Genomic DNA, 24,595 nt, shown 5'->3' on the forward strand with positions numbered 1-24,595 from the left:
GGAAAATCTAAGTAGGTAGATCAGAGAAGACACCAGAGTTTGAAGTACCAACTAAACAATTGCAAATTCAACATTACTTTTCCCCCATTCAGTATCCTGAGCCTGAATTCAACATGGTGTGCAATCCAAAATGAGCATTGTTTAGCAGACAGAGATGCAGGAGAAGTCTTGGAGTTTTGGCTCAAGGAATGTAAAAGAGAACTAAAATTCGGAGAGTGGGGGAAATCCATTGGGTTTTTATTTACTCCTTCTTTGGTTCCACAGTGGAGGTAGTAAAAGCAAAGGTGGCTCAGAAGCAATAGTGGCCCAGAATGGGAGCCTCCAGGAATCAAAACTGTGGGATAAGGTCCTTCCTCTAGGTGAAGCCACGATGTCAAGAAGACACCTTTATACCAGTTTTTCCTCTCCCTCTCCCTCTCGTTCTCACTCTCCCTCTCCCTCTCTCATCCTCACTCTCTCCTCCTGCTACTTGTTTCTGGAAATGCTACAACCATGACAGTGGGTAGTTTTTGAAGAGAAAACAGAAATGAGAGCCCAGGGAACTGGAAAGTACTGAAAAGATAAAGGAAAGGGAAGAGTTTTGAAAAAGCAACAGTGTAAAGTTGATTTGAACCCCTGGGCTTACCTCTGACTTGTGACTCCTTTGATCTTCATTAGCATACCAAAGATTTGGAAACTCAACTACAAATTACACCTCCACCCAAGTCTCAGACTAACCACTAGATGGTACACATGCAGGACAGACCTATATAGTACTGAGAAAGGCTGGAAAATTGAATTGATGTGGGAACCAAAATATATAAAAGGCTAAAACAAAAATATAGACCTTCTCCATAGGATATAAACAAGATACAGAATCTCAACACAATACTCACAATGTCCAGGATACAAACTACAATTAATCAGCATGCAAATAACCATAAAAATTTCAATTAACATGGAAAAAGACAACAGACATGAATGATGAGATTACATTAAATTATCTTAAATTAGCTATAATAAAAATGCTTGAATGAACAATAACAAGCGATTTTGGAACAAATATTTAAAACAGAAGCACTCAGTGAAGAAACAGAAGATATAAATAGGCTTTACCATTCAGGACATAGGCATGGGCAAGGACTTCATGTCTAAAACACCAAAAGCAATGGCAACAAAAGCCAAAATTGACAAATGGGATCTAATTAAACTCAAGAGCTTCTGCACAGCAAAAGAAACTACCATCAGACTGAACAGGCAACCTACAAAATGGGAGAAAATTTTCACAACCTACTCATCTGACAAAGGGCTAATATCCAGAATCTACAATGAACTCAAACAAATCGACAAGAAAAAAACAAACAACCCCATCAAAAAGTGGGTGAAGGACATCAACAGACACTTCTCAAAAGAAGACATTTATGCAGCCAAAAAACACATGAAAAAATGCTCACCATCACTGGCCATCAGAGAAATGCAAATCAAAACCACAATGAGATACCATCTCACACCAGTTAGAATGGCAATCATTAAAAAGTCAGGAAACAACAGGTGCTGGAGAGGATGTGGAGAAATAGGAACACTTTTACACTGTTGGTGGGACTGGAAACTAGTTCAACCATTGTGGAATTCAGTGTGGCGATTCCTCAGGGATCTAGAACTAGAAATGCCATTTGACCCAGCCATCCCATTACTGGGTATATACCCAAAGGACTATAAATCATGCTGCTATAAAGACACATGGACACGTCTGTTTATTGCGGCATTATTCACAATAGCAAAGACTTGGAACCAACCCAAATGTCCAACAATGATAGACTGGATTAAGAAAATGTGGCACATATACACCATGGAATACTATGCAGCCATAAAAAATGATGAGTTCATGTCCTTTGTAGGGACATGGATGAAATTGGAAATCATCATTCTCAGTAAACTATCTCAAGAACAAAAAACCAAACACCGCATATTCTCACTCATAGGTGCAAATTGAACAATGAGAACACATGGACACAGGAAGGGGAACATCACACTCTGGGGCCTGTTGTGGGGTGGGGGGAGGGGGGAGGGATAGCAATGGGAGATATACCTAATGATAGATGACGAGTTAGTGGGTGCAGCACACCAGCATGGCACATGTATACATATGTAACTAACCTGCACATTGTGCACATGTACCCTAAAACTTAAAGTATAATAAAAAAAAAGAATCAAATGGATATTTTGGACTAAAAATATAATAGCTGAAATAAAAACTTAGGAATGAAAGAGTAGATAGAAATTTCATAGGTATTACAATGACAAGAGTATATAATAGCAATTCTAAACACATAAATTCGACAACATAGATGAAACAAATTCCTCAAAAAGAACAAACTGGCAAACCTTATCCAAAATGTAACAAATAATCTAAATAATCTAAATCCTTCTATAAATATTACTGAAATTGAATTTGTAATTAAAAATCTTCCCCCAAAATACCCAGGTCCAGACGGTTTCACTGGCAAATTTTACCATTCATTTAAAGAAGAAATAGCATCAATTCTATACAATCTCTCTATGAAACTAGAAGACAGGAAAATACATATCAACTTACTCTGTGAGGCCAGCATTACCCTGATATAAAAACCAGAAAAATAAGTGATACAAAAAAAGAAAACTCCAAGTCAATATCCCTCATGAACATAAGAATCCTAAAAAAATGCAAATGAAATTTGGCTATATATAAAATAGATAATTAATATACCACAAGAAAGCACGGTTTTTCCCAGGAATACAAGGCTGGTTCAATATATGAAAATCAATCAAAGCAATCCATTCTAAAGATGTAAAACCCCATGGTATGGTTTGAATACATCCTCCAAAGTTCATGTGTTGGAACTTAATCTCCAATGCAACAGTATTGAGAGGTGGGACCTTTAAGAAGTGATTAGGTCATGAGGGCTCTACCTTCATGAATAGAGGCTTCTTCCCTCATGAATGAATTAATGGCATTAATAATGGAATGGTTTAGTTAACTCAGAAAACAGTTCCTGATAAAAGGATAAGTTTGGCCCCCACACTCGCATGCACAGGCACGCACATAAGCACACTCTCTCTTGCCCTTTCACCTTCCACAATGGGATGATGCAGCAAGAAGGCCCTCACCAGATGTGGCCACGTGATCTTGGACTTCCCAGCCTCCAGAACTGTAAGAAATAAATCTCTGTTCTTTATAAATTAGCCAGTCTGTGGTATTCTGTTTTAGCAGCACAAAATAGATTAAGATGCCCCAAATTATATCAGCAGATGAAAAAAACTTTTTACAAAATACAATATCCATTCGTAATAAAACTCTTAGCAATTTGGAATAGAAGGGAGCTTCCTTAACCAGATAAAGAATATTTACAAAAAATCTACAGCTAATGTCATACTTTATGTTGACAGACTAAATGCTTTCTCTCTAATATCAGGAACAAGGCAAGGATGTCCACTCTCACGACTCCCATTCAACATAGTATTGTAACTCCCAGTCAATATTATAAGGCAAGAAAGGTAATATAAGGCATGCAAATTGTAAAGGAAGAAATAAATCTGTCCCTGTTCATCCATAATATGATTGTCTGTGTAGAAAATCCCAGGAAATCTATAATTTATTTTATGTTTTATTTTTTGAGACACAGTCTTGCTCTGTCACCCAGGCTGGAGTGCAGTGCCATGATCACGGCTCACTGCAACCTCTGCTTCCGAGGTTCAAGGGCTTCTTATGACTCAGCCTTCATAGTAGCTGGGATTACAGGCATGTGCCACCACACTTGGCTAATTTTTGTATTTTTAGTAGAGATGGGGTTTCACCATGTTGGCCAGGCTGGTCTCGAACTCTTGGCCTCAAGTGATCTGCCCACCTCAGTCTCCCAAAGTGCTGGGATTATAGGCATGAGCCACTGCAGCCGGCCCAAAATCTATTTTTAAAAACCTTTCTAGTACCAATAAGCAAGTTTATCAAGTTCACAGGATACAATGTCAACACATAAAAGTCAATCATAATATTATATACAATCAATAATTCATTTTTTTATTTTTTTAGTTTTATTATTATTATACTTTAAGTTTTAGGGTACATGTGCACAATGTGCAGGTTAGTTACATATGTATACATGTGCATGCTGGTGTGCTGCACCCATTAACTCGTCATCTATCATTAGGTATATCTCCTAATGCTATCCCTCCCCCCTCCCCCCACCCCACAACAGGCCCCAGAGTGTGATGTTCCCCTTCCTGTGTCCATGTGTTCTCATTGTTCAATTTGCACCTATGAGTGAGAATATGCGGTGTTTGGTTTTTTGTTCTTGAGATAGTTTACTGAGAATGATGATTTCCAATTTCATCCATGTCCCTACAAAGGACATGAACTCATCATTTTTTATGGCTGCATAGTATTCCATGGTGTATATGTGCCACATTTTCTTAATCCAGTCTATCATTGTTGGACATTTGGGTTGGTTCCAAGTCTTTGCTATTGTGAATAATGCCGCAATAAACAGACGTGTCCATGTGTCTTTATAGCAGCATGATTTATAGTCCTTTGGGTATATACCCAGTAATGGGATGGCTGGGTCAAATGGCATTTCTAGTTCTAGATCCCTGAGGAATCGCCACACTGAATTCCACAATGGTTGAACTAGTTTCCAGTCCCACCAACAGTGTAAAAGTGTTCCTATTTCTCCACATCCTCTCCAGCACCTGTTGTTTCCTGACTTTTTAATGATTGCCATTCTAACTGGTGTGAGATGGTATCTCATTGTGGTTTTGATTTGCATTTCTCTGATGGCCAGTGATGGTGAGCATTTTTTCATGTGTTTTTTGGCTGCATAAATGTCTTCTTTTGAGAAGTGTCTGTTGATGTCCTTCACCCACTTTTTGATGGGGTTGTTTGTTTTTTTCTTGTCGATTTGTTTGAGTTCATTGTAGATTCTGGATATTAGCCCTTTGTCAGATGAGTAGGTTGTGAAAATTTTCTCCCATTTTGTAGGTTGCCTGTTCAGTCTGATGGTAGTTTCTTTTGCTGTGCAGAAGCTCTTGAGTTTAATTAGATCCCATTTGTCAATTTTGGCTTTTGTTGCCATTGCTTTTGGTGTTTTAGACATGAAGTCCTTGCCCATGCCTATGTCCTGAATGGTAATGCCTAGGTTTTCTTCTAGGGTTTTTATGGTTTTAGGTCTAATGTTTAAGTCTTTCATCCATCTTGAATTAATTTTTGTATAAGGTGTAAGGAAGGGATCCAGTTTCAGCTTTCTACATATGGCTAGCCAGTTTTCCCAGCATCATTTATTAAATAGGGAATCCTTTCCCCATTGCTTATTTTTCTCAGGTTTGTCAAAGATCAGATAGTTGTAGATATGCGGCATTATTTCTGAGGGCTCTGTTCTGTTCCATTGATCTATATCTCTGTTTTGGTACCAGTACCATGCTGTTTTGGTTACTGTAGGCTTGTAGTATAGTTTGAAGTCAGGTAGCGTGATGCCTCCAGCTTTGTTCTTTTGGCTTAGGATTGACTTGGTGATGCAGGCTCTTTTTTGGTTCCATATGAACTTTAAAGTAGTTTTTTCCAATTCTGTGAAGAAAGTCATTGGTAGCTTGATGGGGATGGCATTGAATCTATAAATTACCTTGGGCAGTATGGCCATCTTCATGATATTGATTCTTCCTACCCATGAGCATGGAATGTTCTTCCATTTGTTTGTGTCCTCTTTTATTTCATTGAGCAGTGGTTTGTAGTTCTCCTTGAAGAAGTCCTTCACATCCCTTGTAAGTTGGATTCCTAGGTATTTTATTCTCTTTGAAGCAATTGTGAATGGGAGTTCACTCATGATTTGGCTCTCTGTTTGTCTGTTATTGGTGTATAAGAATGCTGGTGATTTTTGTACATTGATTTTGTATCCTGACACTTTGCTGAAGTTGCTTATCAGCTTAAGGAGATTTTGGGATGAGACAATGGGGTTTTCTAGATATACAATCATGTCGTCTGCAAACAGGGACAATTTGACTTCCTCTTTTCCTAATTGAATACCCTTTATTTCCTTCTCCTGCCTAATTGCCCTGGCCAGAACTTCCAACACTATGTTGAATAGGAGTGGTGAGAGAGGGCATCCCTGTCTTGTGCCAGTTTTCAAAGGGAATGCTTCCAGTTTTTGCCCATTCAGTATGATATTGGCTGTGGGTTTGTCATAGATAGCTCTTATTATTTGAGATACGTCCCACCAATACCTAATTTATTGAGAGTTTTTAGCATGAAGGGCTGTTGAATTTTGTCAAAGGCCTTTTCTGCATCTATTGAGATAATCATGTGGTTTTTGTCTTTGGTTCTGTTTATATGCTGGATTACATTTATTGATTTCCATATATTGAACTGGCCTTGCATCCCAGGGATGAAGCCCACTTGAGCATGGTGGATAAGCTTTTTGATGTGCTGCTGGATTTGGTTTGCCAGTATTTTATTGAGGATTTTTGCATCAATGTTCATCAAGGATATTGATCTAAAATTCTCTTTTTTGGTTGTGTCTCTGCTCGGCTTTGGTATCAGGATGATGCTCGTCTCATCAAATGAGTTAAAGAGGATTCCCTCTTTTTCTATTGATTGGAATAGTTTCAGACGGAATGGTACCAGTTCCTCCTTGTACCTCTGGTAGAATTCGGCTGTGAATCCATCTGGTCCTGGACTCTTTTTGGTTGGTAAGCTATTGATTATTGCTACAATTTCAGAGCCTGTTATTGGTCTATTCAGAGATTCAACTTCTTCCTGGTTTAGTCTTGGGAGGGTGTTTATGTGTCGAGGAATGTATCCATTTCTTCTAGATTTTCTAGTTTATTTGCATAGAGGTGTTCGTAGTATTCTCTGACGGTAGTTTGTATTTCTGTGGGATCGGTGGTGATATCCCCTTTATCATTTTTTATTGCGTCTATTTGCTTCTTCTCCCTTTTCCTCTTTATTAGTCTTGCTAGCGGTCTATCAATTTTGTTGATCCTTTCAAAAAACCAGCTCCTGGATTCATTAATTTTTTGAAGGGTTTTTTGTGTCTCTATTTTCTTCAGTTCTGCTCTGATCTTAGTTATTTCTTGCCTTCTGCTAGCTTTTGAATGTGTTTGCTCTTGCTTTTCTAGTTCTTTTAATTGTGATGTTAGGGTGTCCATTTTGGATCTTTCCTGCTTTCTCTTGTGGGCATTTAGTGCTATAAATTTCCCTCTACACACTGCTTTGAATGCGTCCCAGAGATTCTGTTATGTTGTGTCTTGTTCTCGTTGGTTTCAAAGAACATCTTTATTTCTGCCTTCATTTCGTTATGTACCCAGTAGTCATTCAGGAGCAGGTTGTTCAGTTTCCATGTAGGTGAGCAGTTTTGAGTGAGTTTCTTAATCCTGAGTTCTAGTTTGATTGCACTGTGGTCTGAGAGACAGTTTGTTATAATTTCTGTTCTTTTACATTTGCCGAGGACAGCTTTACTTCCAACTATGTGGTCAATTTTGGAATAGGTGTGGTGTGGTGCTGGAAAAAATGTATATTCTGTTGATTTGGGGTGGAGAGTTCTGTAAGCAATTCAAAATCAAAGTTAAAAAAAATTTACAATAGTTCTAATAAGACAAAATCTTTAGGTATAACACCAATAAAACATGTATAAAAGATCTGTATGCTGGAAATTACAAAATGTTGTTAAAAAATCAAAGAGCTACATAAATAGACATACTGTGTTCATGGACTGGAATACTCAATATGGTAAAGATGTCTATTCTCCCCAAAGTGACCTATATACGTAACACAATACCAATAAAAACCCTATCAGGATATTTTAGATATAGACAAGCTGATCCTGAAACTCATATGGAAGGGCTAAGAAACTACAATGGCCAAAACAATTTGCAAAATAAAAACAATGTTGCTGAAACTTCAAATTATACTGCAAGGCTATAGTTACCAAAACAGCATGGTACTGGTATAAAAACAGGCACATAGAGCAATGGAACAAAATTCGGAACCCAGAAATAAAGCCAAATACTTACAGCTAACTGATCTTTAACAAAGCATGCAATAACATAAAGTAGGGAAATGATACCCTATTCAATTAATGATGCTGGGATAATTGGCAAGCCACATATAGAAGAATAAAACTGGACCCTCCTCTCTCACTTTATACAAAAATCAACTCAAGATGGATCAAAGACCTATACCTCAGACCTGAAATCATAAAAATTTTACAAGATAACATTGGGAAAACTCTTCTAGACATTGGCTTAGGCAAAGAATTCATGACTAAGAGCCCAAAAGCAAATGCAACAAAAATAAAAATAAATAAATGGGACATAATTAAACTAAAATGCTTCTGTGCAGTAGAAGAAATAATCAGCAGAGTAAACAGACAACCAACAGAGTGGGAGAAAATATTCGCAAACTATGCATTTGATAAAGGACTAACATCCAGAATATACAAGAAACTCAAAACAACTCAGCAAGAAAAAACAAATAATCCCATCAAAAAGTGGGCAAAGGACATGAATATAGAATTCTCAAAAGAAGATATATAAACAGCGAACAAACACATGAAAAAATGCTCAACATCACTATCTTTCAGGGAAATGCAAATTAAAACCACAATGAGATACCACCTTACTCCTGCAAGAATGGCCATAATTTAAAAATAAAAAAAAATACATCTTGGCATGGATGTGGTGAAAAGGAAACACTTTTATAGTGCTGGTAGGAATGTAAACTAGTACAACCACTGTGGAAAACAGTATGGAGATTCCTTAAAGAACTAAAAGTAGAACTACCATTTGATCCAGCAATCCCACTACTAGGTATCTACCCAGAGGAAAGGAAGTGATTATATGAAAAAGACATGTGCACACGCATGTTTATAGCAGCACACTTCACAATTGCAAAACTATGGAATCAACTTAAATGCTCATCATCCAACGAGTGGATAAAGAAAATGTATCCATTTTCTTTATATCATATACCATGGTATATATACACCATGGAATACTACTCAGCCATAAAACAGAATGAAATAATGGCCTTTGCAGCAACTTGGATGGAGATGGTGGCCATTTTTTTAAGTGAAGTCGCTTAGGAATGAAAAACCAAATATTGTTATGTTCTCACTTATAAGTGGGAGCTAAGTTATGAAGATGCAAAGGGGTAAGAATGATATAATGGACTCTGGGGACTTGCGGGGAAGGATGGAAGGAGGGTGAGTGATAAAAGACTGCACATTGGGGCCAGTGTACACTGCTCAGGTGACGGATGCACCAAAATCTCAGAAACCATCACTAAACAACTTACCCATGTAACCAAAAACCATCTGTACCCTAAAAACTATTGAAAATAAATAAATAAATAAAACAATGTTGGTGGACTGAACTTTACTACATGATTTTGAGACTTATTATAAAGCCACAATACTCAGGACAGTGTGGTATTGGAAAAAGGATAGCAATCTAGATCAATGAAATAGAATAAAGAGCCCAGAAATAGACCCACTCAAATTTTGGACAAAGTCAACTAATTTTGGACAAAGGTACAAAGTCAATTCAATAGAGAAAATAGAGTCTTTTCAACAAATGGTGCTAGAACGATTGGAAGTCCACTGCAAAAAATGAACTTGAATACTTAAACCTTACCCAAAAAATAATTCAAAGTGGATCATAGGTCTAAATATAAAATGTAAAACTATAAAACTTCTAAAAAAAGGACTTGGGAGAGAATGTAAAATATTGGATATGCCAATTAGTTTTTAGTTACATCACAAAAAGCATTATCCACACAAGAAAAAAATAGATAAATTGAACTATAAAAATTTAAACATTTTTATTTACGAAAAATTTTAAAATAAAAATTGTTAAATATTTACATATTAACATTTTTTTATCTGTGAAAGACACAAAGGAATGAAAAATGCCACAGAATGAAAGAATATACTTGTACATTATATATCTGGTATATCCAAAATATATAAATAACACTTAAAACTGAACAATAAAAGATAAAATTTAGTTTTAAAAATTAGCAAAGCATCTGAACAAACATTTCACCAACCCAAATGTACAGATGGCAAACAAGTGTATTAAAAGATAATATCAATCATTGGGAAAATGAAAATTAAATGTGTAATGAGAAACACTTCAAGATACAGCTATTAAAATGGCTAGAATTAAATACACATATAAATTTACATGACAATATGAAATGCTGGCAAGGATGTATTACAAAAGGAACTCTCACTCATTGCTAGTGGAAATGCAAAATGGTTCAGGCATTTTGGAAAACAGTTTGGCAGTTACTTTTAAAATTTAACATACACTTGACATATGACCTAGCATTTTCACTCATACATACCTTTGGAAGGGAATTGAAAAATTAAGTTTACACAAAAATGTATATGAGAATATTTATGGAGCCTTACTAAAAATCACTAAAAACTGGAAACAACCAAGATGCTCTTCAGTTGGTGAATGGATAAACAAATTGTGGTACAATCATAAACTAGAATACCATACGGCAATTAAGATAACTGTTGATATTCATACAGCTAGGATGAATCTTAAATGCATTATGCTAAGAGAAAGAAGCCATATCCAAAAGCTGACATGTGATATAATTCCATTTATATGACATCCTGGACAAGGCAAAATTATAGGAACAGAGAACTGCTCAGTAGTTGCCAGGGGTTGGGGGAGGTCTGAAGGGTTGACTATAATGGGCTGTACAGGAGAATTTTTAGGGTGATGGAATTGTTCTATACGGTACTATGGAAGAGGATATCTGACTTTATACGTTTGTCAAAACTCACAAAACTGAATTTTATTGCATTCAAGTTTTTATAAATCAACCAAAATGTCTGAGCAACTCAATATTGAATGCAGTTTGCAACAAATGGTTCTAACTATATTACAAGTATATATATCATAATCTCACTAAATGGGGTGGAGAAAGAAAACCTGAAATAAATAACCACGAAAATAGTGTTTTGCTGAATATTTTAAGACTAATGACAGAAAGTAATTGTGTGTAGACACTGTACTCTAATTGATAAAATTGTTTCTCCCAGGGGTATGAGTTAACAATTCTGAAACTACCAGTGTAGTAGGGTGGAATAAATAAATAAACAAACAAACAAACAAATAAATAAATAAATAAATAACTTGTAGATAATGAGAGTCAGGTATTTCACAGTCTAAGAAAGAAGCTCATAGTAAACAAGGGAGAAGGTCTAGAATGATGCCTTATAGTGCAATTTAGGGTCAGAAATGGTATTAACTCATGTTTATTTTTAACGTATATATAAATAGACATCAAAATACAGACGGGTTAGCATGCACACAAATATTTCTTAGCTCTGTCTGCTGAGCGGGCTAGAATTAATGATACCCTAAAAGTAACAAAAGCATCCAGATCTTGGTTTCCAAATACCAATTTTCAATTACAGGAACCATGGTTTCTTGGAGAAGAGGCTGGTGTTATCTTGTAAAAAAGTAACGAAGTGCTAGAAAAATAAGGAGAATAGAAGTATATCAAAGGGACACAGGAGGGGAAAAGACAGGGATGAATAAGTGGAGCAAAGAGGATTCTTAGGGCAGGGAAACTACTTTAATACTGCATACATGTCATTATAAATTTGCTCAAGCCTATAGAATGTGCAACTCCAAGAGTGAACCCTAAAGTAAACTATGGACTCTGGGTGATAGCAATGTGTCAATGTAGGTTCATCATTTGTAACAAATACCCCTGTGGCAGTGGCTATTGATAATGGGAGAGGCTATGCATGTGGAGGGGAGGAAGGGAGAATATGGGAAATCTTGGTACCTTCTGCTCAATTTTGCTGCAAACCTAAAACTACTGTAAAATATAAAGTCTACTAAAAATAGAACAGAACGCAGAAGCCAATATGAAAGAGTTCCTAATGGGCAAAGCTGGGACAAGGTGACCAACAAAATAAATAAGTTGAGTATTATAACCCAAATAATTAAATATTTATGAGTACACACTTATATATATACATTGTTGAATAAATAAGTAGGGGAGAAAGGAAAAATCTTTATAGAGGGATTCCAAATAATAAATGTAGAATAAATAAGGGAAGCAGAAAATCATCATTAGAACACTACTGTAATAATTGCCACAGGCACAATCCACTGATTCATGCTAAAATTAGTGAGTGAAACTTTAAGGAGAATCTGAAGAGTTGCATAGGCTCAAATAATTTTACCCAAATTATTACAGTGTTTTTAATAAATTTCCACAAATTAGTTGATACTTCTCCCTCTAGGGGGTGGCATTTAATTTCCTTCCCCTTGAGTGTGGGCTGGACATAATGATTCACTTCCAAAGAATACAGTATGGGAAAGACAAATAGTAACCTGGCAGACCACAACTAATCTAACAGTTCAAGGTTAATATCATCAGCAATAAGTCATGTTGATATCATCTTCCCTCTGATGTGATGTGATGAGAAGGATACCTCACCTCTATGGTATTCTCCTTAAAACCCACAGCCCCAGTCTAAACATGAGAAAATATCAGAAAATCTCAAATTGAAGGTCATTTCACAAAACACTTGACCAAAATTGTCAAAGTTATGAAAAACAAGGAAAGACTGAAAAGCTGTCACAGATTGGATGATTCTAAGGAAATAAGACAATTAATCCCAACGTGGTATGCTGGATTGGATCCTGGAACATATAAAGGACGTTAGTGAAAAAACTGAAGAAGTCTGAATAAATTATGTAGTTTAGTTAATAGTAACTTACCCATGTTAATTTATTAGTTTTGACAAATATACCATGCTTATGTAAAGTGATAACATTGGTGGAAGCTGAATGAAAGGTATACAGCAATTCTACAATTGTTCTGTAAATCTAAAATTATTTAAAAATAAAAAGCTAAAAAATAAAAAAGCTTACTCCCAGGACAGACTTAGGTAGTAGCCATTCACTTCCTGAATGCTTTCCCTTCCTATCTAGACACTTCAGGTGGATAAAACTCTTATTTATCCTATCACCTAATCATGTTTTTAGAAAAGGATCTTATGACAGCTGGTCACATTTTCCTCAAGCTCTTCTGTAAACTTTCAGGTAATTTTAAGTAGTACGGTATCTTACTCAAGTTGTATATGGTAGAATATAGAAGAGAGATTTCTATTTCTGGTGATATTTTAGGCTATATTTGTAAAGAGTCCTTCCAAATACAAAACACCTAAAAATAATGGATTTAAAACAAATAAAGCATGGCTGAGCTGGTGTGAAACCAACAGAAATCCTCAGAGGCCAGGAATGAGAAAATAATTACTGATCTAAAGAGATAAAAAAGCACTAAAATCCATGTTTACCCTGGTAGCCTGGAGCAGTGTTTCACAAACATGAAATCAATTCAGTGGGTGCAATAGGCAGCATACAATATCACCCTTAATGATCCATACCTCTTGTTATTCATGACATTGTGTAGTCACCTACTTTTGAGTGTGGGCTGAATCTAGTGACTTGTTTTTAACCCATAAAATAAGGCAAAAGTGATGGGATATCACTCCTGAGATTTTATCACAAAAAGACTGGCCGTCCATTTTGTTGGTCCTCTTTGGCTCTCTCATTGACTTGCTCTGTTGGAAGCCAGCTGTCATGTTGTGAGCTTCCCTAGGGAGAGACCCACATGGCAAGAAGTTGAGGATGATCTCTGGTCAAGAGCTAGTGAGAAACTAAGGACCTCATTCCAATATGTTATGAGGAACTGAATCTTGCCAACAACCTTGTGAGTAAGTTGGAAGTGGATCCCTATCCACTCACTCCTACCCAGTAGAACCTTGAGATGACCAAAGCTTCAGCCAATACCTTGATTGTAGCCTTATTAGAGATACTGAGCCAGAGGACCCAGCTGAGCTGTGCACTGATCTCTGACCCACAGAAACAGACAAAATAGATGTTTGCTGTTTTAAGCCACTACGTTTTGAGGTTAATTTATTACACAGTAGTTGACACAATAATACAGTGGATCATAAAAAGCATATTTTTTGATTTAACATACACACACACACACACACACACAAACGTGTGTGTTTATTGAGTGGCAAAGTAAAAAACAATGTTTCTTCTCTGGGCCATTGTCAAAGGATTGACACATTTCTGGCTTAAAACTTGGGCTTTAAGAGATAGCACGTATAGAAGATAGTAAACAAAACTCTTTGGGCTCAAAGTAGGAAGTTGGATCTGAGAGCCTGACTAAAGTGTGGACCAGACAAAGGTGACGTAATCAGCGGGTGAAGAAGAAGCACCTAACTGAGACTGTCTCAACCTTGGCTCAATCGTGGAGGGAAACAAAAGAGTGAACAGTTCCTGAGATTTCCTAGCCCAGTCCTGCATTTATGTGGGTTTGGGGCTGGGATGTACATTACCCGTGTAGGAAGAAAAAAAGCCAACACACACACACACACACACACACACACACACACACACACACACACGAAAAACCTGTATGAATAAGAATCCACAGAAACAAACCAAAGAATCAGAATTGCAAAAGCTATAATTGGAATTATCTGATTTATACTGTGAAATAAGCATTGGTTGTATGTTTAAAGAAATGAAGAAGGTATCAACAGTATGTCAACGAAATGTGAGACTATCAAAGAAAGACTACATGAATTTTTAAAAGAATCAAATACAGCTTCTAGAAATTAGAAATGAGAGCATTAAAATTAAAAACTCAATGTATGAGGGTTAAACAGCAAATTAAACAGAGGTGATGAGATAATTAATGAACTGGAAAATAAATCTGAAGAAATTATATAGAAAGTACTGTAGGAATAACAAGATATGGAAATATAAAATAGAGATTAAAACACATGGCTAGAATGATAAAGTCTACCATGGGTTTAATTACAGTTCCAGAAAGAAAAGAATTGATGAAAGATACCAGTCCTCAAGTTAGGGAAGCCCAACTTTAAACAAAACAAACAAACAAAAAAAAACAAGCAACATTTAGAAAAATCATAATAAAATTTCAGAACACTAAAGCTGAATAGATCTTAAAAAGCAATCAAAGATAAAAGACAGTTTACCTAATGAGTAACAATTAGATTCGCAGTTGACTTCTCAACAACAATAATGAAAACCAGAGATAGTGAAATAATATTACTGAAGTTCTATGAGAAAATAACTTTTAACCCAGAATTGTATACTCAGAAATAAGTCTCTTCAAGAATGAGGATGCCATAAACACATTTTCATGCAAACAACTCTAAGAGAATTTATCACCAACAGACCCTCAATAAGGGTTCTATGGAATGTACCTCAGACAGAAGAAAAATAGTACCAAAAGAAAGGGCTAAGAGACAAGAAGAAATGGTGAGCAAGTAAAATGGTAAACATGTGTGTCAAACTAAGCCAACACTGACTTGAGAAACAACAATAAAAATGTCTATTTCATGGGTTTATAAAACAACTAAGCAAGGAACTTCTAGTTTCAGTTCCAAGAGCTTGGGAGTTCTTATTCTCATCTTTACAATAAGAAAAATTGGGTCACACTGAAAATCAATGACTTTTCTGGGACCCATTAGAGAACTGAGGCCATAGAGAAAACTACTACCTTGAAATCTGAAGAGTCAGGCACTTTCAGAGAGAGAGAAAGCATCTGAAATTTGCTTATCTCGTGCGGAAAGCACTGGATGCCAGAAGCTATTTAATACTTAACTACTACAAACAACTTTACACTTGTAAATTTATCTATTTAGAATATATGGATCAATTCCTTGAAAACCACAGCCTCTCACAAGTCAACCAAAAATAAAACAGGCACTCGAATAATCCTATAAACATTAAAATAATTTAGTTCAACATAAAATCTCCAGAAATAGAAATCTCCAGACCCAAATGTGTTTACTTCAAAAGTCTGTAACACTTTTAAAGAAGAATTAATGCAAATTTTAAACAACATTTTCAAAGAAATAAGAAGAGGAGGGAATATTTTCAACTAATTTTATGAGGCCAGAATTACCCTGATATCAAAACCAGACAAATGAATTACCAAAAACCCAAAAACTCTATAGTCCACTCTGTCATAAACTTAGATGAAAAAATCCTCAACAAAATATTGGCAGACAGAATCCAACATTACATGAAAATAATTACAGTCAGTCCTCCATATCTGTGGGTTCCACATCTGCAGATTCAACCAACAGCAGATAGAAAATACTTTTAAAAACAATAAAAATAACAAGAATAAAACACTACAAATAAAAAGCAATACAGTATAACAACCATTTACATAGCATTTACATTGTGTTAGGTATAATCTACAGATGATTTAAAGTAAATGAGAGGATATGTGTAAGTTATATGCAAACACTAGGCCATTTTATAAAAGGGACTTGAGCATTCATGGATTTTGGTATCTGCAGGGGTTCCTAGAACCAATCCTCTGCAGATACTGAGGGATGACTGTATATGCAATGATTAAGTGGGATTTAGTACAGGTATGCAAGACTAGAATAAAATTCAAAAAATCAATTAATGTAATCCACCCTATCAACAAACTAAAGAAGAAAAATAAATACATACTGACAAAGCACTTCATAAAACCTATTAATGATAAAAACTTTCAGCAAGTTAGGAATAGAGATGAATTACCTAAACTTGATAGGCACTCCTTTCTTTAAATAATTTTAATGAGTTTGAGCATTCAGCAATTTGTGAATTGGGAAGCACAATACACAAGCAGTTCAGGGCTCCACTGAGGGGGATCAAGAGAAAACTTTTATAAGGTGTTCTCAGAAGAAAGACGAAATAAATATTTGATTGCTTAAAGTAGAAAGTCCATAGTTAGAGGTTAGTTGGTGGTTTCTGAATGGTTAAGCTTAAGATTTTATATTTTTATTTTTTATTTTAAGTTCAGAGGTACATGTGCAAGTTTCTTAGTGAGATAAATTAATGTCACAAGAGTTTGTTGTACAGATTATTTTGTCACCCAGGTGTACCTATTACCTATTAACTAGCACCCATTAGTTATTCTTCCTGATCTTTTCCCTTCTCCCACCCTCCACCCTCAGGTAGGTCTCAAATGTGTGTTGTTCCCCTCTATGTCCATGTGTTCTCATCATTTAGCTCCCACTTACAAGGGAGAACATGCAGTATTTGGTTTTCTGTTCCTTTTAGGTTGCTAAGTATAATGGCCTCCAGCATCCATGTCCCTGCAAAGGACATGATGTCATTCTTTTTTATGGCTGCATAGTATTCCACGGCATACACATACTACATTTTCTTTATCCAGTCTATCACTGATGGACATTTAGGTTGATTCCATGTCTTTGGTATTGTGAATAGTGCTGCAATGAACATATGTCTGCATGTGTCTTTATAATAGAACGATTTATATCCCCTTGGGTATATACCCAGTAATGGGATTGCTGGGTTGAATGGTAGTTCTGTTTTTAGCTCTTTGATGAATCACTACACTGCTTTCCACATGGTTGAGCTAATTTACATTCCCACCAGCAGTGTATAAACATTCACTTTCTTCTGCAATCTCACCAGTATCTGTTATTTTTTGACTTTTTTATGATAGCCATTCTGACTGGTGTGAGATGGTATCTCACTGTGGCTTTGATTTGCATTTCCCTAATGATCAGTGATGTTGAGCATTTTTTCATATGCTTGTTGGCTGTATGTGTGTCTTCTTTTGAAAAGTGTCTGTTCATGTCCTTTGCCCACTTTTTAATAGGGTTGTTTTTTTCTTGTAAATTTGTTTAAGTTCAACTTGATAAGAAACTTCTATAAAGCAAACAAAAACTATCACCAACATTATACTTAAAAGTGAAAGACTAAATGCTTTCCCCCTAACATCAGGACTAATGTAAGGATTTCCACCTTCTCCACTCTTTTGACATAGTACTAGAAGTTCTAACCACTGCAATAAGGCAATAAAAGGAAATAAAAGGCATACGGTTTGGAAAATAATTTTTAAAAAATCCCTATTTGCAAATGTCATGATTGTCTACATAGAAATATCCCCCTAAACTACAGAAATTCCTCGAACTAACAAGTGAGTTCATCAAGGCTGCAAGATACAAGATCAACACACAAAGACAATCTTGAGACTTTCATTTCTGGCATGACAGCATGAGGAGCTCTAAAGACCCATTCTCTAATAAAACAAGCTCAGCTGGCAAAATTACAACACAACAACCTTTTAAAATCTCTGGAAATTGTCTTAATGGAATACAGTACATGAAGATATTTTTATTCAAGAAAATCTACTGAAATGTGGTAAGAACACAGTCTTTGATACATGTGCCATGCTACTGTTCCCGACCTTACTACTGTCCCCTCACTACTGGCTCCAAGCTTAGCTTGATAGAAGCTCCACTTAAGGTGTGTATAGCCAAGATGAAGCTCCCTTTCGTCTTGGAGAGAATGTCCCATCAATACTTTGGCATCTTACTGGAAGGAGCAGAGAGCTAGCATTTAGCATTCCCTTCAGCTCAGAATTGCAGAGGCTAAATTCCTGGCAAGTGTGGTTAAGAGGTTGGAGGATCCCTTCCTCCTCCCAGTTTTTACTCATAGAATGGAGGCTATATACCAGGTGCAATAGGCTAAGAATACTGAGGTCCTGATTACCCTCATTCCATCTTGCTCACAGGGTAGGTTCCACACCAGGATAGGCAAACTAAGACCAGAAGCTGCTGTCTCGCCCAGCACCCAGAACAGTGCTCAGACAGTATACCCATGGAGAGAAGAAATTCATAAGATGAGAGAGCTCTGAAACTCTCCCCCCAAAACTAACTTTATTTTTAACATAGTACAAAGAAGCTCAAGCCCAAGGATGTTCTCAAAAACTACAAGTTCACTTAACTAACAGCAACATAGGCCAGCTTGTTCATCAGAGAGAACAAGAGAGAGAGGGACAGGTAAGAAGAGCCCTTCTGGGGTATGAAGAAACCTCCAAGACTTACTTCACAAACTACTCCTGCTAGAGTTTAATTAGATAAGGCTGCTGGGCAATGCATGCTTCAGGACACTGCCAAACAAACAAACAAACAAAAAACAAAAACAAAATACAGCATTCAGCTAGTAATTAGTGGAGCCTAGAGTGTAATACCCCCATGTGGGCTGACAGCTTAATAGAGAGACTGGGAAAAAGTCAAAGAAAGCCCAAATTACCTGCAAGCCAAAAACTATGCACTCCAAGAAGCAACACTGAAGGGTTCACACTGCAGGGAAACATACTTTAAAAATAGCCTAGCCAAGTCACAAAGCAAAGAGTTATATAGAAATAAGGAAATGATACCAGAAGGTAATTCAAACCCACAGGAACAAATGAAAATAATAGAAAATAATAAATACATACATGTTCTCCTTAATTTTCTCAGCTTCCTTAAAACATAAAATTATATAAAATAATACTTATAATGATGTATTATTTAGTTTTTAGCATATACAGATATAATATATATATTATAATAGCTCAAAAAGGAAGGTGAAAGAGAGCTATATATGAGTAAAATTTTTATATCTCATTGAAATTAAATTAGTACAAATCTGAAGCACACTGATGTATGATGTATGTGAAAAGCCCTAGAACAACCACGAAGAATATACCTAAAAAATATATAATAAAAAATGATCAAATGAATTAAAAAGTTAAACTAGAATAATTCATTTAATGCAAAAGAAAGCAGTAAAGGAAGAATAGAGAGAAAAAGACATGAGCTCTATGGAAAAATAAAACTGCATATTTAAACCAACTATATCAATAATGATTTTAAATCAGAACAGATTAATCAACCCAATCAAAAGGTAGAGAATATCTAACTGAATACAAACAAACAAGATCCAACTGCATGCTGCCTACAGAAGATAGGTTTTAGACTGAAAGATACAAGGCAGGCCTGGTGGCTCACGCCTATAATCCGAGCACTTTGGGAAACCAAGGTGGGAGGATCCCTTGAGTCCAGAAGTTTGAGACCAGCCTGGGCAACATAGTGAGACTCCATCTCTATTCTAAAAAAGAAAGAAGAAAAAAGAGAAAGAAGCAAATAGATTAAAAGTAAAATAACGTAAGTAATACATCATGCAAACAACAACCACAAGAAATTTGGAGTGACCATACTAATATGAGACAAAATGGATGTTCAAAAACATTACTAGAGATATATAGGGACATTCAATAATGACAAAAGGGTCAATCCATAATGAATATATCACAAGTATAAACGTATATGCCTAAACAACAGAGCTGCCAAATACATGAAGCAAAACTGGCAGAATTGAAGGGAGAAATAGACAATCCACTGACAATAGTTGGAAACTTCAAGACCACTCTTTCAATAATGGATAGAACAACTACATAGAAGATCAACAACAGGGAAATAGAGGACTTCAACACAAAGTAGTAATAACAAACATCTGTAAAACACTCCATCTCCAAACAGCAGACTATACATTTTTCCAAAGTGTACATCAAACATGCTCCAAGAGAGACAATATTCTAGGCCATAAAAGAAGCTTCAATAAATTTGGAAGAATGGAAATCATATAAAGTATGTTCTCCAATCATAATGGAGTAAAATAAAAAATTAATAACAGAGAGAACTTTGGGAAATTCACAAATATGGGAACCTAAAGGAAACAGAAGAAGGATATAATAAGGATTAGAGGTGAAAATAATAAAACAGAGACTAGGAAAACATTAGAAAAAAATCAACAAAATCAAAAGTTGGTTATTTGAAAAAATTAATAAACTTGACAAACCTTTAGTGAGACTGACCAAGAAAAAAAAGAGAAAACTCAAATTAATAAATTCAGGAAAAAAAGAGGAGACATTACTACTGACTTTATGAAAATAAAAAGAATTATAAGGGAATATTATGAACAATCATAAACTGTATGCCAACACAATAAATGCCTTAGGTGAAATAGATAAATTATTAGAATGATACAAACTCTCAAAACTGACTAAAAAAGAAATGAAATCTAAATAGATCTATAACAAGGGGTTGAATAAGTAATGAAAAACCTTGCCAGAAAGAAAAGTCCAGGATTAGATGGTTTCACTGGTGAATTCTACAAACATTTAAAGAATAATACGATTCTTCAAAAGCTCTTTCAAAAAGTAGAAGAGGAAGAAGCACTTCCCAACTCATTCTATGAGGCCAGTATTTCCGTGCTACCAAAGTTAGGCACATATATTAGAAGAAAAGAAAATTATAGACCAATAGCTGTTGTGAATATGGATGTAAAAATCCCCACAAAACACTAGCAAACTGAACCCAGGAATGTATAAAAGGATTTATATGTATACATTATATATATGTATATATTATACTTATACTTTTTACATCACAATCAAGTTAGATTTATTATAGGAATGCAAGCTTGATTTAACCTTTGAAAATCAATTAATGCAACAGATCACATCAATAGAATTAAGGACAAAAAAACCAAATGATCATCATAATAGGCACAGATAAAGCATTTGGGAAATTAAATACCCCTTCATGATAAAACCAACAACAAATTAAAACTAGAAGGAAAGGCCCTAAACCTAATAAAAGACACCAATGAAAAACCCACAGTGAATATCACACTTAATGGTGAAAGATTGAATAGTTTCTCCCATGCCGCCTGCCAAGATCAGTAACAACAGAAGGATGTCTGTTTTCATCTCATCTTTTCAACATTCTAGTAGAGGTTATAGCCAAGGTAATTAGGTAAGAAAAAGAAAATAAAAGGCATCTGGATTGGAAAGGAAGAGATGAAATTATTTCTATTTGCAGATAACATAATCTTGTATATAGAAAATCCCAAGGAATGCACTAAAAAACACCATTGGACCTAATAAATGAGTCCAGCAATGTTGCAGAATATAAGATCAATATATAAAAATCAATTACATTTCTATAAAGTAGCCATGAGCAAACAAAATGAAATTAAGTAAAACAATTTTATTTACAATAGCATCAAAACAATAAAATGCTTAAAAGAACACTTTAAAAAATGTAAAACACTCTGAAAACTGCAAAACATTGGTGAATATAATTAAAGACCTAAGTAAATGCAACAACATCTCATGTTCAGGGACCTAAAACTTATTATTGTTAAGATGGTAATATTCCCTAACTAATCTATAGATTAAATGCAGCTTCTGTCAAAGTTTCAGCTTAATTCTTTGCAGAAATTAATAAATTGGTCTTAAAATTTATATGGAAATGCAAAGGACCTAGAATAGCCAAAACAATCATAAAAACAATCTGAAAAAGACCAAAATTAGAAGACATACTTCCCAATTTCAAAATTACAATTAAACTACAATAATCAAGAATGTGTGGTACTGGTATAAGGGTAGAGATACATATAAACAAATGGAATAGAACTGAGAGCCCAGAAGTAAACCCTTCAACTTATAGTCACCTGATTTTCATCAAGGGTGCCAAGACAATTAAGTAGGGGAAAGAAGAGTCTTTTCAAAAAATGCTGCTAGGACAACTGGATAGCCACATGCAAAAGAACGAAGCTGGATTCCCATCTCACACCACATGCAAATATTAACTCAGAATAAATTGAAAAACCTAAATGTAAGAGCCAAGACTATAAAACTCTTAGAAAAAAGCCTAGGCATATATCTTTGTGACTTTGCATGCTACAACATGGATTAACCTTGAAAACATGCCCAAAGAAACGAGCCAGATACAAAAGGCCACATATTGTATGATTCCCCTTATATAAAATGTCCAGAATAGGCAAATTCATTGAGACTGAAAGTAGATTAGTGGTTGCCAGGGGCTAAGGGGAGAGGGTCATCTGGAGTGAGTCTAGAGTATGGAATTCCTTTTTGGCATAAAGAAAATGTCCTGGAATTAGTGGTGATGGTTACACAACTATGTGAATATACTCAAAACCACTGTATACTTCAAAATGGTGAATTTTATGGTATGTGAATTATATCTCTATCAAAAACAATTTTTTAAATGTAGGAAAACACATACCAGGCAAATATTAAGCTAAATAAAGCTAATGTAGGTATATTAATATGAGAAAAAAGATTGATTATAGGGCAAAAACATCAATGATACCAAATTACCAGGTATTACCAGAGTTAATAATTTCCTTACATGGTGATAAAATATTCAATTCACAAGGAAGATATAGCAATTCTAAATTTGTTTGTAACTACGAACTTTCAAGATTGACAGAATTACAAGGAAACATTAACAAATTTTCCATATCAACAGGCAGCCAAAACCCCAGAAGAATATAGAACATTTGAGCCAGATTAACAAACACAACTTAATCGAGGTATATAGTACACTAAACACAACTGTAAAACGCACATTCTTTTCAAGTGCTCTTGGAACATTTACCAGATTGTCCATAAGTTGGTCCATAAAGCAAGTCTCAACAGATTTCAAAGAACTGAAATAATACAAAGTTTGTTCTCTGACCAGAATGGAATTAAAATAGAAATGACAAGAGCACTGATCTATCAAAACAGAAGCTGGTCCAAGGGCTGGCACCAAGTACTGGAGGCCTCCTGCTGTGGTAGGCATTAATCCTTTAGTTGCTAGATGATAATCAGTAGGTCCTGGCTATCCTGGGAAAGGAATTGAGGTGGCCAGGGTAACTGGGTAAGTGTTGGAGAGACTAAAAAAGCCTGGGAGAGTGCCTATTTATAAAATGGACTAGAAATATTCTGAAAATTCATATGGCCATACGATTGTGAATCTGTGGAATATCAGCCCTGTTTAGTAGGCCAATTATCTCATTGGACACTTAAATTAGAAAAGAAGAAAGTCTGAAAATGAATGAGCTGAGCAGCAGGCAACTCTATGAGTTAAAAAAGAACAACAGAATAAATCCAAAGAAAGTAGGAGAAACAGAATAATGATGAAAAAATAGTTAAATAGAAAATAAAGATAAAAAAGGATCAAAAAGTCAAAAGTTGATTATTTTAGAATTATAAAAGTGTCAAACTTATAGCAAGATTGATCAAGAGAAAAAAGGTGCAAATAAATAATATTATAATGAAAGAGAAGCTATAACTACAAATGCAACAGAGATAAAAAAGATACAAAGATAAGAACTTTACACAAAATAAATTTGAAAACTATGTGAAGTAGAAAAATTCATAGAAAACCATAACTTAGGAAAGCTTAAGAAAGCTAACTTTAGTGGAAATAGCAAACTGAAAGGACTCTATAACTGATAAAAGAGATTGTATCAGTTAAAATGTTAAAGGAGACACCAGGTCCAGATATTTTACCTGGAAATGCTGCCAGGTAAAATATTTGAGGAATGGCTAGTTCTGCAGACAACCTCTGTCAGAGGACAGAATGAAAGGAAATAGTTCCCACCTGATTTTATGAGGTTAGTGTAATCTTGACACTCTTGGAAAAATCACAGGCCAATCTCTTTCCTGAGCAAAATGCTAAAATCCTAAACAAAAAATTAGTGAAAGAAATTCAGAAGTTTTTATTTATCCCAGGACTGCAAGATTATTTCAACACAAGAAAAACTCTAATGTATTGTACCACATTAATGGGTTAAAATAGAAAATTAATGTCATTTCAGTGAATACAGAAAACATGTTTAATAAAATTCAATA

At 35.3% G+C, this 24,595-nt stretch overlaps 1 protein-coding gene across 10 annotated transcripts in view; it reads right to left on the reverse strand.

The window, feature by feature from the left end:
- PFKFB1 (6-phosphofructo-2-kinase/fructose-2,6-biphosphatase 1) overlaps positions 1-24,595 on the reverse strand; it is a 65,829-nt gene that overhangs the window by 33,334 nt on the left and 7,900 nt on the right. Inside the window, exon 2 of one of the 10 annotated variants that reach the window (XM_017029578.2) lies at positions 24,345-24,426. The exons of the other annotated variants lie outside the window; for them this stretch is intronic. The gene's annotated coding sequence lies outside the window, so the exon portion shown is untranslated. The remainder of the gene's footprint in view (positions 1-24,344; positions 24,427-24,595) is intronic. 10 annotated transcript variants of the gene reach the window in all.

This window comes from Homo sapiens, chromosome X, assembly GCF_000001405.40.
Source record: "Homo sapiens chromosome X, GRCh38.p14 Primary Assembly".
Classification (NCBI taxonomy): domain Eukaryota; kingdom Metazoa; phylum Chordata; class Mammalia; order Primates; family Hominidae; genus Homo; species Homo sapiens.